We start from the raw sequence: 18,839 nt of genomic DNA on the forward strand, positions 1-18,839 counted from the left end.
AAACCTTCACGTTCTGTACATGTATCCTGATACTAAAAGTATAATTAAAAAAAGATGGATACCTGCCATTGATAAATCATTGTGGGTGGCCTAATTTTAAGCTCCTACATCACTTTAATTTATAAATATGTTGAGAACATTTTAATTTGTGTGAGTCAATAATGTCTTCCCACTGTAAAAAATGAAAGAAACAAAGGAAATGCTGAAGCTAATGTGAATCACAACAGAACCAGCCTCAATGGAATGAATGTTAGAGCAGCCTAAGTTCACTGGGAGCTTAAAGGCTTGAGGCAGGAGGTTTAGGAGGAAGAGAGATATGGAGAAGAAGGTGAGGATCTGTCAAGTTTACTTACAATATTTTTAATATCTGGCCACGTACTCAGTGAATTATATTAAAGCACTTTGGAAAATGCATACGTACTTTATCTTTTTAAAAAAGCAAAAGACAAAAAACAAAACTCTCAATCTGATTCTTACATCATCTACATTTTGAGTGCATATCTCAACTACTAAATAATAATTTTGTCAGTACACTTTATCATCTACTAAATTTAGAACCATAAATCATTCTGAATGTTTCTTTACACCTTTAATATTCAGGTTCTTCTTGGGAACTAAAGGGACACTGTGGCTCATCAGAATGGACAAGGAATTGGAGTTTATCTGGTTTGCACTACTTTTTTGGCAAATATTTATGAGTCTCTAAAGATTGGATTATTGACTTCAAGAACTGACTTCAAAATCAAGATGGACTCCAGTTCACTGATCTCTTAAGACGGCATTATTATTATTGCTAATAAATCAGTTCCAACAAACTTCCTTGCTAACACTTCTTTTACTGATCTGGAGTGGAAATTTATATGAATATTCCTCTTTGAGAAGAGGGTGGAGGTTGAGACCGTTTTGATTGCAAGTTATCTTGACCTGGGGAAGGAGTGTCATTGAAATTGCTTTCTTGGTATTTGCTATAATCTTGTATGTCAACTTAAGGTTCTTTCTGTGGATGCAACCAAAAGCTATTCTCAAGAGGAATTAATTAGCAGGCTATCTGGGATTCGTGGAATCCATGCTGGATAACTGAATTTGGAAATGAACAGACAGGTGGGTAGTTCTGGAGTCTGGGAAGAAAGAAACCTTGATATTAACATGAGCAGTCTGCTCATGATCTTACCGCTTGGATAAAATGGACACCCACATGATTTCATTGTTTTCTGCTAATTATTCTGCTAAGAATCACTGTTTCTATCCCTTTGTTAGAGATTCAAATTCTAGAGAAAATTCTGAAAATATCAGTAATTTACTCATCTGTTTAGTTAAAGGGAGAGGCAGGGGGTCAATCTTTTTATTATAGTTCCAATGAACTATAACTAGTTGGAATAAAAAACACCTCAAAAGTGAATTGGATTCCAGTTGTTATATAGACTCCGGAAAATCAAAAGACAAAAACACCTTTCATGAGGAAAGGGAAGCTACAGCAAAGCTGGGAATATGGAAAGACGAAGCAAGCCTTTCTTTTTGTTTTGCTGAGAGGGGCAGTTATTACTTATTATGAATATTAAAAACAGAACCTACAATAAAAATAGACTGTAAGAGCTTTAGTACCGAGTGAAAAATGTAAAATTATTTGAGTCATGAACTTGTCCCAAGATAAATGTGGAATCAATGCTAAAACCTGTATAGTACTTTAAAGTAAATGTAAGATAAGACAAAGATGATTGTTATTACCATTATCAATACTGATTTAGAAATTCTAACTAATGAAGTACAGTAAGGAATATAAATCAGAATCATAATTATTGGAAAGAAGATAAAACTTAGCCTTGTTTGAGGATAACATGATTTGTATAATGAAAACCCAAACGAGTCAACTGAAAAGCTAATATAAACTTTATTATATAACCAGCAGTAATGATTACAAAGAAAACATAATGGTTTTAGAAAAAAATTCAGAATAGGCAAAACATACATAGAGAAAAGCACAAAACACTTCAGAGTAATCTTAAGAAGAATTATGGGAGCAAATGAAGAACAGCACATAAAATTACTGTAAAGTATAGAAAACTCACTAAATGCTTGTTTCCTTTTTAAAATTTGACAGACTGGACTCACAGGTGAAAAAAGTCAAACTGGTCTCACAGGTGAAAAAAACTCTTTTGAAACTGAGAGTGATTAGGGACACTACTTATTTAGTCTTGTGTGTACTAAATTAAAAACATAAAACATAATGTTTTTAAAAGTACTAGAGCAAAAATTGATACAGATCATTGAAACAAAATATATACTCCAGAAACAGACTATAATTTCTGGAAGGATTTCACATATCCTCCGGAGATCCTCAGATTTGTAAACAGAAATTTATACGCAGCAGTGTGCATTTAGTTACGTTTAAAATCATTTGCCTTACCCTAACTTATTCATGAGCAGAAGGTAAATCCAAATCCCCAGTGATACTCAATCTGAAACAGACCATGTGAAGTTTGTATTCATCAGCTCAATTGCTGATGAATGCTTGTAATTTAGAATGTTTGCCCACTTCCTTTAGAGAATCTTATTTGAAACCATTATTTGTTCCTCTTTTGTATTTTTATATATGCCATCTAAATAGCCATGGTACATCTAGTCTGATTATACTTCTTGTTGGCCCTCATGTTTAGCTACTTTGATGGATGACTGCTTCTCCTTCTGTGTATTGTGGAGCCCAGCAAAGTGAATTTGTTTAATACCAGGTAGCCTGTGTTTTGAACCCTATCATGCCAGATATGACCTTAAGACATGGTAAAATCCTTCTAGACATTTTCATGACTTCAGTGGCAGGTAAAAAGCAGGAATTTCATTTAATTTATATTATTTTTAGAAAAGTTAGAAACAACTGGAATTAACAATAGGGAATGGTTAAAAATATATTTGTACATCTGTGCAGTCACGTTATACAGCCACAAAAAGGGATTACTCATAGCTCAAACCTCAGCATCATGCATTATATTTAGTTAATATGTGCACATATGCCCCGACTCCAAAATAAAAGTTGAAAAAGAGAAATATTAATATAAAATAAAGAATTTTAGATGATATAATCCTTACCAGGAAGTATACTATGAATAACATTTTTTTAATTTCATTTGGTTTGTATATATTTTATTTTTATATTTTCCTTTATTTTTCAAATTTCTTAGAAGCATGAGAATCAGAAAAACATAATTTAAAAATGTGAAGATCAAGATATTTAAGGATTGGAATATATATTAACAATACAAATAAATTATGTGTCAACAATTATTTAGCGGTAACATTTAATGTGTGTACTTTTAGTTGATTTTACTAAAAGACTTATACACATATGTGACCAGGACATGTATACGTATATGACAAAATCATTCTGATTTGCATCCTCAAATTCAGCCCTATAGTTTCCACCACTGAACAGCTGACTAAGGTACCACAGTAAACTCATGGCAGTTCTTCTAAGGGCAGGAAAAGTTATATAAAATGTAGGCCTTTAAATACTGGATTTGCAAAGTTCCATTATGTGTGGTAAGAATGGAAAAGCGTATACCTACTATGTCCCAAATAGGAAATTACCTATAAGCATCATAATTTAACTCACCATACATACTTTGACTCAAGTAACTGATTTAAAAAAAAATCCATGTGGTTGGTGCATGTGGTTCGTTATGTTGTGTTCATAAATATGATCATCAACCGATTTGCAAAACAGTAAAATATAATAATTCTATGAACTCAATTCCAAAAATAATTTACACCTGGATGAATCTTTTTGGAAAATTTTACCAAACAGCATCATCTTCAGTGCTTTTCTAAACCAAGGATAGAAAAATGCATAAACCATTGGATTAAATGTAGAGTTCAAGTAGCCAAACCAAATCAATACATCATTCAAAGTAGGTGGAATAATGTAGTGAAGAAAAGGGTCCATGACTGTACAGATAAAGAAAGGGCACCAGCATATTAGGAAAACTCCCATCACAATCCCCAATGTCTTCACAGCTTTCCTTTCTTTGCTTTGTGAAATTCCATTTTTCATTTCCAATCCAATTTGGAGCTTCTGATTGGCATCACTAATTAATCTTGCCTGTTCTTTAGCGATAAGATATATTCTGTAATAGACACATAACATAATAGATCCAGGTATATAAAAAGAAGTCATAAAGGTCAGTACCCCAGATATTTTGCTAAAGAAGACAGAGCAACCTCCTCTGCAGTGAACATGTTTGTAATATATCTCTTCAGCGCCTTTGAAGTTTAGCTCCAGAAAGATCATTCCAAATGCAAAAACAGCAGGGACACTCCAACTAATGAAGATCATCACACAAATAACCAAGATATTCATCTTGGCTTTATATCTCAGTGGATCACACACAGCATAGTAGCGGTCAATGGAGATGAAAGACAAATGGAAAATGGAGGCTGAGCTCAGCATAATGTCGGTGCTTGTGTGAATTTTACAGAAGACTTCTCCAAAATACCAACAGTGCTCAGCAGATCTCACCATACTGTAAGGCATGACCAGACACCCCAGAAGAAAGTCCACAGTGGCCATGGAATGAATGAGCCAATTTGTTGGGGTATGAAGTTGTTTGAAGTGTGATATAGAAACAATAACTATCAGATTGCCAACGAGTGTGGTCAGAATTATGAGCACCATTAAACTGTACAGGGAAGCACGGACATCATTTGACCAGTTGTTTTTCACACAGGAAATATTAATTATATTGTGGCAAAAGGGCATCATTCCTGAGGGCTGTCAATCAGTTTACTTTTCCCTTTGTGTGTTGATTTATCTTTTTCCCAAATCCATAATCAGGTTACAGTTCCTTCTCATGTTTATTTTTTATTTGCACATACTTATCCCAGAAACCTAGGAGGAAAAATAAAAGAGTAAATCATTGGCAATTTGAGTCCTCTCACTTCTAAAACATTTACCTATTACTCTCTGTTGAAGAATAGTTATTTTGGAAGGGACTTTATTTCCAAGTTCCATTCAATAGTTCAGTACAGCAATTTTTAAAAAACTTTTACCTGGAGCTGGACATTCTTCTAGAAATATGAAGCTAAATTATTAGGTTGAACTATATGAAACTGCCACATTTGTAGGTCAGAGAAGATCAAATGATGATTATGATCACACATCTTAATCTATGGAAACAATCTGTGTCCATAGGAAGCCAGTCTAGTGGGGGAGACTTACATTGTAAAGGGTAGAAAGAAATTGCCAGAAAATTTGGAATTAAAATATGTTTATGAAAAAGACAAGAAGTCTTTTAAATGTGCCTCTTGTGCAGAATTAATACGCACTATGCCCACTTCTGCACTTGGTCATACGTAAATTATATATTTCTTATTTTATAATTAATTGTAATAAGAAGAAGCTTACATATATTTATTTGCAGCTTGCAAAGTACTTCTACATATATTCCATGCATTATTTCAGTTACAGTTTTATTTGACATTTATAAGACCAACATCATTTTTTGTAAGGAAGACATGACATGCTTCATTAACCTCATTTTACTGGCAAGAAATTGAAGTTTAATTCACAAATCATTAAAGCTTGAATATGAGCTGTGGTCTCAATTACTAGTTCAGTTTCTTTGATATCAGTCCAGTCTTTCTCTCTATTGCAGAAAGAACCAACTTGAGGTCAATTTTTAAAAATTAAGCTTTAAATTTTCATATAAGAATTTATGATGTCTTAAATAATGGCACCTACTAGTGAAGAATGATATTGTGGTCCCACTTATTAAGGATTTTTGATATACAGACTAAAGTCTATGGTAAGAAGTGAAGTGGCATGGTGCAAAGAGCACTGAGGTGAGAGCCCAGGGAAGCTGAGTTTCCATGTGGGCCGTGGGCAAGGCACACAACCTTTTTAGTTTTTAAGTTCTGAAATCCAATAAATCTCACTTTATAAAACAGGTAAAAAAAATTATTATGAGTAGGCATCTTCTACTAGGCCTCCTCTTCTTGTACTTCACTGAAGAACCTCAAAGTTCCAGGGGACTCAGTTTGAAACTGTCCCTTTTGTTTCTATATGACCCTGTAATTCTGAGCTAAATTCTAGAACTTGGACTTACACACACACATACGCATGCACACACACACACACACACACACACACACACATATATAACACATACACAGACATGTACATATATATAAAGAGAAGAGGGGGGAGAGAGAGAGAAAGGAAGAAAGAAAAGAGAGAGAAAGAAAGGAAGAAGGAAGAAAGGAAGGGAGGGAGGGAGGAAAGGAGAGGAGGAGGGAAGGAAGGAAGAAAGAAAAAAGAAAGGAAGGAAGGAAGGAAGGAGAAAGGAAAGAAAGAAAGAGAAAGAAAAAAGAAAGAAAGAAAAAGGAAAGAAAGAAAGAAAGAAAGAAAGAAAGAAAGAAAGAAAGAAAGAAAGAAAGAAAGAAGAAAGAAAGGAAGGAAGGAAAGAAGGAAGGAAGGAGAAAGAGCTTGGGGAAGAGTACAAATTTCTGGCAATGAAGTCCTATAGTCTATCACTTTGGTAGGAAAATGCTAGAAAACAGCAACAATTCCTAGAATTCCAGGAGTCTGCCTTCCTTTTTATCTTTTTCCCTTCCCTCTGGGCTGATGGTTTAGAATGAGAGAAATGCAATATCTAGGTATGAAAATGTATATTTTAATAAATTTGGAACATTTTTCCCCTAATCTCCTTTGGTCTTCTATTCCCAGAAGGAAACATATTTATACCAAATAAATCTGTAAGATTTATTTAAAAAGACACACAGGCTCATTCCATGATAGAAGCTAAACAGCAAACAAAAACTGTTATTTAAACTAAGCAATATTTGAATTACGATTATGATTTCATTAAAACAATGATGGATTTCTTACTATGAAATTTAAGTTTGCATTTAACTAAACTCAATCAGTTAAGTTATATATTTTCTAGTTAGACTTTTCCTCCACTATTTCCCTCTCTTTTCCTTCTTTCTTTTACTTATTTGTTGACTTACTAAAGGAACCACACAACACTCAAAATCACTGTTCAGAAGTGTTTATTTATTCCTGACTCTTAAAAACATTTCTTCCTGATGTCATATTGAGTAGGGACTCTCAGTAGGAACTAGGGTTCAAAAAGAAGTAAGGGAAGGTGGAAATAAAGCAAAATACAAATTTCACTTTTAGAAGAGGAAATTCACAGAAGATGAAAACGCCATCTGGCAAATTCATAGGCCTTGTTTTTTGTGGCTCTGACCAAAATGACTCAGAGGTTACCGCAAGCTCATATTTGCACATACTGGTTTAAGAGACATCAAGCCTTAGGCACAGTATCTTAGAAATTGTTGATAGTATGAATGCCACATCTGTAGAATAATTTGTCTGCCCAACTTAAAGAATATTAAACATCATTGTATGAGTGCTTTTTGAAGTGTTATAAATTGTTTTTGAATAGATTTATTTGTTTAAGTGCTCTATGACAACATTGTGAGTTGAAAGCTTATCTAAGGACCTGGCAAAATAGTGTTTTTGTTTCTTTTCTTTCAGCTTTAAGAATTTACAAGCTAGAGATAATTATTATCTGTATATACAAAGTTTCCAGGTTGAATATACAATAGCAATATGGGAAGTTAACAAATTGCTGTTTGATTACCTAACTAAGTAAACAGTTCTGTGTAAATGATCTAATCATCTAATGTTTGAAAATGACATATGAATTAAAAATATGTTGATAGAACTTATAGTTTAAAATAGATCTGTCTAGCAAGGCAGGAAATCCCGGGCAGAGTGCCTCAACTTTCCAACAGAAGGTCATGAACACTAACCCTATCATAAGCTTTGTCCCGGATTCCATTAACCACCCATTCCTAATTGTTCAGAATTTCATCTCTATACTACTCTACTCATTTCCTAATCCAAACCAATTTCCCATTGTGGTATTACTCACAAAACCCTTCCAAGAGTGCCCTTGGGGACTCATGGTCTTTATTCCATTTCCTAAAATTCTTTTTTTAAATCTGCTTCCCACTCTTTGTTCTAACTAAAACTCTCTCTCCTCAGGATACCTTCTCCCCTGCAACCTTGTCAATGGCGGCTGTTTTCTTTCCTACATTCCTTGTACCTCTTCATATTATATGATCTGGAGAAAGAGTAAGTGTCCACTTACACTCATTGCCATTGAAGATCTTTCCACCCTAACCTCTAACCCCTTGCAAGCTTTGAAGTTCATGTCTTCATGCTATACCTCTGTATTAGTCCATTCTCACACTCCTACAAAGAACTGCCTGAGACTGGGTAATTTATAAAGGAAAGAGGTTTAATTGACTCACAGTTCCGCAGGGCTGGGAAGGCCTCAGGAAACTTACAGTCATGGTAGAAGGGGAAGTAAACACATTCCTCTTCACATGGTGGCAGCAAGGAGAAGTGCAGAGTGAAGTGGGGTAAAAGCCCCTTAGAAAACCATCAGATCTCATGAGAACTCACTCACTATCATGAGAACAGCATGGAGGTAGCTTCCCCCATCATTCAATTACCTCCCACCAGGTCCCTTCCATGACACGTGGGGATTATGAGAACTACAATTCAAGATGAGATTTGAGTGGGGACACAAACCATACCAACTTCCTCCTATTGCAGGCATGTACAGACTCCCAAGTCATCTCTCTGTACTTCTTGAAGATATGAGTTCCTGGCTTACTGTCACTGTCCGTAACGCTACTCCTGCTAAAGTTCTTAGCAATTTTATTGTCCACCTAAATGATCCTTCCAATAATGGACTCTTAGTTCATCGACCTCTATCTTTTAACAATCATAGACTCGCCTCCATCTCATCTCACCTTCCATGGTCATATCCCCGGATGTCATTATCAATGACAAGAGTCATCCAAATGATTGGTTTCAAGCTTCACATCCTGTCCTCCCAGCCCATGTGCTTCCTTTCCAACAATTTTTCACTAGTGCTTCCTTTCCAACAATTTTTCAACTCGAAGCCCTCAATTCATTTATTTTACACACCTTTCCACTGTCCTTCATTTACTCATGTCTACCTCTTTACTCAGTTTAGATTCCAGTATTTCCTGGCATTATCTTAAGCTCTCTCACATTAACATACTTTCCTGGCTAAATTTGAACACTGGTTAAATGCAGTTTTCCTCTCACTCCACTCTGGCACACTGAATGTGGCATAGAAAAACACACAATAGCCTTCTTTTAAATTCGTAACAAAAATGGACCATTACAATTGCTCAGGAATCCTACTCCATTTCCCTGTTACATTCATTCCTCTCCTCTCTGAGATGACTATTTCATGCCTTCTTGAATCTCAAATACTTATTCACATCCTTACTCTCACCTAATGACTTTGCATTCTGTTTCACTGAAAAAAGTGATGCAATCAGAAGAGAATGTCCACATCCCTCCAGCCTATACCTGTTTACATATTCAGCCCACTCCCTTATTGCTGCAAATTACTGTAAATGAATGGACTCTCTCCCATCACAGGCCTTTCCTCAGATGTGCCCCATACCCATCTCTTTATGCCTATTCCAAGATATACCCTCCAACTCTCTCTCCCCTGCATCTTCAGTGGTTCTCTTCCAAATACCTTCACTCTCAAATATGCAGTAATACTTTCCACCTTAAAAGAATTATTGAAGCTCACATCTTCTTTCATTTATCGACTACCCCTTTATCAGAAAGGAACCCTTTGAGTCATTTATACTCCCTGTCTCTAATTCCTCTAATCCTATCTCTTAAAATTCACTGTAATGAGAATCTCATCATCAATACTCCACCAAAACAGTTCTTAACCAAGTTATTCTACATTACTAAACCCAGTGGTAAGTTATCAGGCCTCAAGTTCTTGCTTGGCCTTTCAATTCCCCCTTGAAACAATTTCTTCCCTCGGCTCCTGGGTCACCACCCCGCTGTGGTTCTGCTATCTCACAAGCTGCTCTTGTCAGTGGCTGTTACGGTTCTTCTTCATCTCACTGGCACTAAGTCTCAGTCCTCAGTTCCCTTTCCTATTCATAACCACTCCCTTGGTGATTTCATGCTGTATTATGGCATAGTCTACACTCTGATGAGTATCATATGAATACTTCCAGCTTTGACCTTCCCTCTGAACTCTGGACTAGTATTTCCTGCTTCCCACAGGATATCACCACTTAACTTGTCTAAAGCCAAGCCCTTGACCTCCCTCCTGTGCCTAGCTTCTCCTTCTGCTCTCTATATATCTAGAACATGACAACTCTATTCTTGAACGTCCTCCATCCAAAACTTTGAGTTAATTCTTAGCTTCTCGCACTCAACAACATATCCAATTCATCAATAAATGATCTTGGCCCTTCATTAAAAAGTTATCTAGAATCAGATCATTTCTCCTCATTTCTACTACTATCACCATCCTGGTCCAAGCCACCAACAATCTCCAGATTAATCTAATAACCTCCCAGCTGGTTCCCCTGCTTCTTCTCCTGTCTCTCCACAGAAAGTATCCCCAACAAGCAGCCAAAGTGATCACATAAGTACATACATTTTCACATAAATTCTTCCAGAATGGTAGAACATGAGTCTCAAATGTAAAAGAACAGGGGCATAAAAAATATGCCCAGAGCCAATACTGAGACATTGTCAGCCATGCGCCCCTATCAGGCCAAAGAAACCTGCATGGTGACATGCTGCATCTGTGCCTGCCTGATGTTAAGACCACACTTCTCACAATGTCTCCTAGAACTTGATGTAATCCTACAGTAGTGTGTGTATGTGAGGCTGCATTCTGCCCATCTATAACCTACTTAAATTCATCAAGTTCTGTATACTTTCAAGCATGAGTAACTATTTTAATATAAGTGAGTTATTACTGCTATTTTTATAGACAAGGCAGCAAAAACTACAAATCTGGAGCTCTGTGACTGGTACAAGCTAGGTGATTTTTTTTTCCATTGGTGTTCAGAGGAGAGGTTATATGAAATACTTTTGGCCTTCAGGTGAAAAACTAAAAAAGAAGTGATTGAGATATGAATTTTTTTTGGTAAAAGTGTAAATAAAGCTTCTGACTTTCAGATATTCTGCTTTTTTTTTTTTTTCTGAGATGGAGTCTTGCTCTGTCACCAGACTGGAGTGCAGTGGCAGGATCTCAGCTCACTGCAACCTCCTCCAACTCCCTGGTTCAAGCAATTCTCCTGCCTCAACCTCCCTGGTAGCTGGGATTACAGGCGCACACCACCATGCCTGGCTAATTTTTGTACTTTTAGTAGAGGCGGGGTTTCACCATGTTGGCCAGGATGGTCTTGATCTCCTGACCTCGTGATCCGCCTGCCTCGGCCTCCCAAAGTGCTGGGATTACAGGCGTGAGCCACCGCACCTGGCTCAGACATTATTCTTAAGGGAAGTCATCCTTACTGAACCAGAGACATACGAGATAAAAGAAAAGGATAGAAGAATTCCTGGCTTCCCTGAAGCTATATATTTCACAACCTGAACTTGCTTCTATTTTCCCCCTTTTCTTTGGTTTATTTTATATTATTGACTCAAGGACATAGCTTCTAAGCCAATAAGAAGTGATTGGTTTCCTCCTCACCACTCTTTTTTAACAGGTGAGGAGTAGGTAAGAACTCTATGGAAGGTGTGGAGAGTAGGTTCAATAGCTGATATTGAACAAAAGAGAAATTCACCATCAAATAAAAGAAAAGGAGGTCCCCAGAGTCCCCCAAAAGAGGCAATCATAGAGTCAGAGTAGTGGGTGGAGTGCGGGGGAGACAAGGCCTTTTGAAAACTAAGCTGCAAACAGTGGTGTCCTAATGAACAAAGCCTAGGGGAGGCGGCAGTTGTGCAGGTTTGGATGAAGAGGTTCTCAGCATGCCCAGTTCCTACAGGAGAAAATCACCTGAGCTCCAAAGCAGATTTAGGAAAAGATCAAGATCTTCTGCTCCTTCCCCCAAGGAAATTGGCATCCCAACAAGAAAATGACAGTGGAGTGGCCTGTAGTTGCAACAGTGAAGAGCCTTCCACCAGGAATATACTAGTGTGTCCTTACCCGAATGCACAAGCCAAATAGACATGCAAAAGCAGTCACCAAGAAGAAAAATGTGGAGCAGTTAAGTTTCTGGGCAATTCAAAGTAGGGGCCACTTCATACCTTAAAGGAAACTAAGAATAAACAAAATGTCTTTGACCCAGGCAGAAGCCACTATCTCAATGCCTGGTCGGCATGTTTGGGTTTTTGTGTGTGTTATTCTTTGTGTGTGTCTGTTTAAGTGACACTGTTTTTCTTCTGTCTGGTAATTTTGCAGTTACCACATAATGCTAAATTGGAGACAGAGACATGGGACATTATAATCTATGCCAGAATGTGACTTTTTGCTCTAGAACTTTTGATGGCTATCTTGTGCTTGCTTTGATAATAAATAGTCTAAAATACATGATACCCTGATTGATTTGTGGGAGAGAATTTAAAAGAAATATGGACCTAAAATTGCAACTAAACTTTGTGTTAACCTAAATATACTGTTGTTTTACGATCTCTTATTGATCTTGGCTAACGTTATATAAAAGTTGTATGAACCCACAGAAACCATCACACTCAAACCTTTGGTAAACTTTTAATGTTTCATTTGGTTCTTGCCCAATCGGTGACCATCGGAGCATCATAAAGAAAACACTGGTAGCCAATACAACCAGTTTGAGTTTATGAAAGGTCACAAGTCTATGATTGGCAAAGGAGATAAATCATTTAAAATGTTCTGGGAAAAAAACATAAATGCTAGGTGAATCCCTTAAATAGTCCTCAAATATAGAAAATGTTTTCTGGAGACACCTGGTCCCTAGCCTCTCTCTCTCTACACCTGGGATTGGAAACATGTTGACTTTGCATTTGGTTCCCGAACCAAGAAACCCTTAAGTTTTTAACCATGTCCTTAAATGGAAGAATAGTTGTTAGGATCAGATATTCTCAAAAGGTGTTTCAAAGCCCAGCTTTTAAAAGAGCAGTGCTTATAGCAAGAACACACTTTCAAATCTAGCAAGGTTCTATCCTGGATGAGAGTGCTGTTGGCTGTCATGTGTTCGCATCAGTGTTTCTGGGGAAATAGACACTGCTGAAATTTTCTGGTCTCTCGTGCTCTATGTCATGTTCTTATTTAATTTAAGACAGCTGGTAGGTACTTGTATCTATAGCTAACAGTCTAGAATTTAACTTTATAGTAAGTGTAGTTTGGTCTCTTCCTACAAATCTGTAGCCCTAAAATAATGTACCTTTACAGGAACAAATATAGGCTGACCTTAAACTTCTCAGGAACACTGTATCTTTTAATTAAATGGGGCACTGTATACAGAACAATAAGAAAACGTTTGAAACCACAAAATGTTAAATATGGGAAATATGACTTTACGATATATTCAAGGGCTTATAGCACCCATGTATACTTTAAAAAGGAAACAAATTACTTGCAGAGAGGTGTAAGATTCTTATACCTAATACCTCCTAATAATACTCTTAAGGTAATCCTTTGAGAAAGGTATAAGAATTAGGATCTCAAGAATTGGGAAACTGAGCCATGAAAGGACTAATAATGACCTCTGCACAAATTAAGCATCGAATTCACTTTAAAATAATTCTGGCAAATTTTGTTTTAAAATGGAAATATAGTTGATGAAAAGATACATTTTTAAAAAATCAAGAGTGAGGAAAGTCACAGCATTAAAGAATTGGAAGCAAGCATTGTAAATAGATCTGCAGGTGAGAGGAAAACTTCCTCCTGACATCCTCTGACAGCCCAGTCTTCATGACCGCCAAAAAAAATCCTACACCCCTGATATGAGCTAACAATGAAAGTTCAGAAGCCATTTAACAAAATACAGTAGCAGCACAGGGAGGGGCCAAGTCAACTAGAAAAGGCAGCTACTATAGAAGCAGGAAAGTAAGAACTTTAAATAAAATTTAGTAGAAACACATGAGATTAAAAATTAGAGTACAGATAAACATTTGAAACCAAAAGAAATGATACAGACATTTTGAAAACCCATGAAAGAATTATAAAAGAGAATAATCACAACTAAAGACTGAATCACGGATCTGGTGGATAAAATAGAAGAGTCTCACATACATTAAGCCAAAAAACAAAGAAATACAAATTCATTCATTCTTTTTTTTTTTTTTTTTTTTTGAAACAAGGTCTTGCTGTGTCACCTAGCCTGGAGTGCAATGGTGCCATCATGGTTCACTGCAGCCTCAATCTCTGGGGCTCAAAAGATCCTCCTGCCTCAGCCCCCTAAATAGATGGAACCACAGATATGTACCATCAGGAGGTATTTCAAGTTGCCCAGACTGGTCTTGAATGCCTGGGGCTCCAAGCAATCCTCCTGGCTTGGCCTCCAAAAGCATTAGGAATACAGAAGTAAGCCCCCACACCCGATCTGATTTGACTTTTCTAACAGTATCACTCCGATTGCTGCCTTGAGAACAGATGCAGAGAAGCAAAGACATAAGCAAGGAGATCAATTAGGGAGCTGCTGCAACGGAAGCTGTCACCTGGTGAGAGAAGATGGTGCTTTGGAGCACAGCAATGTTTGTCAGGGTGGAGAGGAGAGATCACGTTTGGACATGTTTTGAAGAAACAGCCAGCAGGAATTGTAGATAGCCTTGATTGTCGGTTTAGAGAAAGTCATGGAGGGAAGTAACAGGGCTTTGGCTTGAGCAGCTTGAAAAACAGAGGTACTAGTTAGAGAGATGGGGAAGATGGTGACTGCAGAGGGACAAGAAGCAGGGGAAATCGAACGCTTTGCCCTTGTGAGGTTGGAGCTGTGTGAGGAAGAGCAGGCCTTTAGTGCTCAGCTGTTTGGTTCAAGTCCTGGCTGGGCCATTCACTGGTCCTGTGACCTTGAACATACTACCCAGCCTCCAGAGGCTGCAGTTTCCTCATGTGAAAAACAACCAAACAAAAAGAAAACAAAAACAAAAAAAACTATTTTCTAGAGCTCTTATGAAGCTGGAATGAGTTAATTTTTATAAAATGCTTATAATAGCATCTTGTAGATAGTGTTCATCAACAACTAAGTAAACATCCAAGAGTAATGCAAGGGAAATCAAGGTGCTGTGTCAAGAATACACATATATTTAAATTTAAATAGATGCACTCTAATGGGTCACTATAGGCAGAAGGTAAGGAAAGGGAGAAACAGAGATAAATAGGGGGAGGGAGAGACAATAAGATGAAATATATATATAGAAGTAGGATGTCAGAAGGGAATGGCATGTGTTTTATTCACTGCTGAAGCTCCAAGGCCTGAAAATATCTACAACATGTACTGAGCACAAAAGGGAATAAAGAATTGAATGAATGAACAAATGAACTGAGGAGTTCATTTTCATTTCTGTGCCTCATAGAACCTTAAAAAAAATTCATGCACATATACTTAGCCTGGTTCTGAATTCTGAGTATCAAGGAAAAAGATTGTATAAGCACCCAAATAGAAAGAACTGGTTATTTTAAAAGGAAAGAAGTTCAGGCTAGCATAGGACATCTCCTCTGTCATTTTGGAAGCCAGAAGGCAATAGAATGAGGTTAGAAATTATGAGGGAAATAGGATGACAATTCAACAATCCTATATGCAGTCAAAAGGGTGATCATATAAGAGTAAAAGAATGACAGTAACAATGTATTTATGACCACCTGCTGAGAAATTCTAGGAAATACTCTAGCAATATAAAAATTAAATCAAAACAAAAATTTATAAATAGCAAGAGATGAAAAATAAAAGCAACAACAATGATTAATATATAAAGTAAGGTTTAGTTTAAATTGAAAGGGGTTATGTTAATATGACACAATACAATGCTTGTTAAAAGAACATTCAAAATGAAAAACAAATAAATTTCAAGGAAACACTTAACATTGGCCTGAAACTTAAATTCTAACTATCTTAATAACACCTAGTTGTTATCAGGGGTGCTGAGGGGCTGGCAAGTTAAACTTCTTGACTGGATGGAAAGATGCGTAGTTATAATTAAATTTTGGACAGTTGGTCTAGCAGCATTTTTTTAAAATTTAAAATGCTCACATTGTTTGAATCAGCTCCGTTCAGTGCAATTGTTTTTGTAATAGCAACGAAAGAAAAAAGTAAAATAATCTAAACTTTGATGTCAGACTTACATATATATATATATATATCAGTAGACATATGATATGTATTTAACAAGATGTTAAATAAAATGATCTGGTTCTTTCTATATAGAGACAGAAAGTTGTCAATAGTATATTTTTAAGTAAAGAAAAAACATTTACAGGTTATTTAAAAATATACAATTATGTATTCTAAAATATCATATGTCAATATATTGTTAAGTAGAAAACATTTGCAGAGTATTTAAAAATATCATAAATAGGGATACACACTCACATGCATTTATGTAATTATGGGAAATAAGTATGGAATGGAATACTCCAATTCTCAATATTGTTTACTCAGAGATAGTGAGATTGAAACTCAAAAAACACACAAAAAGATTAACAACAAAAAGAAAATAACACAAAATTTTAGCAACGTTTTTACCTGGGTGGTGAATTATGGGTGAATTTTATTTACTTTTCCATCTCTATGACATATTCTAAGTTTCTTTCTATGGGACTGTTTCACTTTCATAACTAGAAATTTTTTTAATAAAAGTAAATGTATTGTTTATAAATTGAGTTTCATTTTAAAAAACTATTGGTGAATAATTATCAATAAATTTGTATTATTTGTTTCTTTGACTTGTATAATTCTTTGCATGATTTATTTATCTATTTTACCTTTGTACTAAAATTATACTTTTACTAAATTACTGAACTGAACTCATTTCCTGTTTTTGTTCTATTATAAAATGTAAAATAGACAATAATAATTTTACTCCAAAACTATACTTGTAGCTCTGTAATTCCAGTATTTTTAATAAACATACTAAAATATGTTTGAAAAATACTTATTTCTAAAGGGGGAAAGAGACCAGGGTGAGGGGAAACAGCATTTTTAAATGTTTAAGTCATGGTTCTTGAGATGAAACATTGCTGGAAGTGAACCATTTCTGTTTCAAAGAAACAGGAAATGGGACGAAATTCATTTGTTTGCTCCTACATCAACACAAACCAACAAATAAGAGTAAAACAGTCACCAGCAATATTATGATAAATGTACTATACATGAAAGTGTTTCTGCTATTTTGACATGCATAAAGTAATATGAATCAGATTTAGGTAATGTAACTAAAAGGTTCTTAAGTTAATTGATCTAATATATGGCAGGTATACACACACACTGAATTTAGTTTAAGTTGAAAGGGATTATGTTAATATGACACAATACATTTGAAAATGTACTGGGATTTTTCCTACCAAATATATTTGCACAAATAATATCTGTGCAAATAAGATTATGGTTTTGCAGTTTAGTTGTGTATATAGTAACAATAAGACATATTGTAATTGTAAAACCTAAAAAAATCTATAAGGACTCCTTACATGATGTTAAAACTAGCCAATGTACACAGCATAGAATTTCTTTCTTCATTAACAAGAAAAGGAGATTTTTTAAAAGTTTCAACTTTTCAAATGTCCTAGCTTTCCATAAATGAATTTTTAATAAAAGAGAAACAACACTTTTTAAAAGACATGTAAAGCAAGCTATTTAAAAATATATAACCATTCTTTTAGCTTCTCTTGCTAAAGGGGCTACTAAGCAACTAAATTACAGAAAACCCTTGTTAATCTTCGCACTAAATAATCCTAAATTTTAACAGATGGATAAGTACCAAGCCATTGATAAATCTCATTATCTTTAGCATTCTTCCTGTAAAATACTACTTTAGGCCTTTGGGTTAGTCTCTAGGATTTGGTTTGGCTGTTCAGCAAATTCAGACCCACCTGCTCAGGTAAGAGTGAACACAGTCAGCGGATGAGCAGACAGCAGGAACACTGCCTTTGGGACCAGTCTGCATCAATCTCCTGGATACCTGCTGCTGGCTAGAGCCCACTGCTGCTCTATGATAGGCCACAGTTCACATAGACAGAATGACGCAAATATTAAAATCCAAAACAAAAGCTGATAATAAATCTTTCTGAAACAAGCTAACAATATGTTATCAAGAAATATAACTGGGAGGAGCTTTTATTCTGAACCAGCATCAGGAAGCTAGCAGTGAGCAAGCTAAATAGAGAAGGTAAATATTACAACTACTTTAAAAATAATTCCAAGCGTGGGCCACCAGGAACCACAGCGATGCATTAACAGCACATAAATGAAAACACATGTCCATTAAAACTGACTTAATTGCTGATTGATTTGAAAGAAAAGTACTTCTCTATTACACACCTGTACAAAGAAAATAACTAGCATTTAAAAAACAACTTGCTTTCAAAAGAGATGACCTGTACCCAACAAATGAATATTTTTAAAAAATAGAATGTACTCAAACCCAATAACATATTATAGTTAGAAAATACTTTAAAGCAATGGCTTTCAAACTACTTTTGAACCACAACTATAGGAAGAAATACATTTTATATTCTTGTTCAGTACATATGTAGGTAGGCACCCATAACAAATGTAAAAGTTTTCATTAAAAAATACCCTTACTTTGTTTAAGTCAGTCTGATATTTCCTATTTTATTCTATTTCTTCTTTTAATTACTGGAAATTACAACCCGGTAATGTTATTAACCACAATAGAAAAACACCATCTTAAATGTTATATGGTCACACACATTTATCCCATCAGTTTTCGTTTGTTTGTTTGTTTGTTTTTGAGATGGAGTTTCACTCTTGTCGCCCAAGCTGGAGTGCAATGGTGCAATCTCAGCTCACTGCAACCTCCACCTCCCTGGTTC

General features: G+C 35.8%; 1 protein-coding gene across 1 annotated transcript, besides 2 other annotated features; it reads right to left on the reverse strand.

Annotated features, from left to right (window-relative positions):
- Positions 1 to 2,058: 2,058 nt before the first annotated feature.
- TAAR1 (trace amine associated receptor 1) lies at positions 2,059 to 17,929 on the reverse strand. The gene is made up of 2 exons (NM_138327.4): positions 17,877 to 17,929; positions 2,059 to 4,876 (listed from the first exon to the last, which is right to left on the reverse strand). The coding sequence occupies exon 2, from the start codon at positions 4,748 to 4,750 to the stop codon at positions 3,731 to 3,733; it is 1,020 nt and encodes a 339-aa protein (NP_612200.1). The 5' UTR covers positions 4,751 to 4,876; positions 17,877 to 17,929; the 3' UTR covers positions 2,059 to 3,730.
- Positions 9,926 to 9,975: a silencer, noted in NCBI's record as "silent region_17551". NCBI's record gives its function as "represses an Ori minimal core promoter by ATAC-STARR-seq in GM12878 lymphoblastoid cells {active_cell/tissue: GM12878}" and the evidence as "EXISTENCE:reporter gene assay evidence [ECO:0000049][PMID:35858748]".
- Positions 9,986 to 10,055: a silencer, noted in NCBI's record as "silent region_17552". NCBI's record gives its function as "represses an Ori minimal core promoter by ATAC-STARR-seq in GM12878 lymphoblastoid cells {active_cell/tissue: GM12878}" and the evidence as "EXISTENCE:reporter gene assay evidence [ECO:0000049][PMID:35858748]".
- Positions 17,930 to 18,839: the final 910 nt, after the last annotated feature.

This window comes from Homo sapiens, chromosome 6 (genome assembly GCF_000001405.40).
Source record: "Homo sapiens chromosome 6, GRCh38.p14 Primary Assembly".
Taxonomy (NCBI): Eukaryota; Metazoa; Chordata; class Mammalia; order Primates; family Hominidae; genus Homo; species Homo sapiens.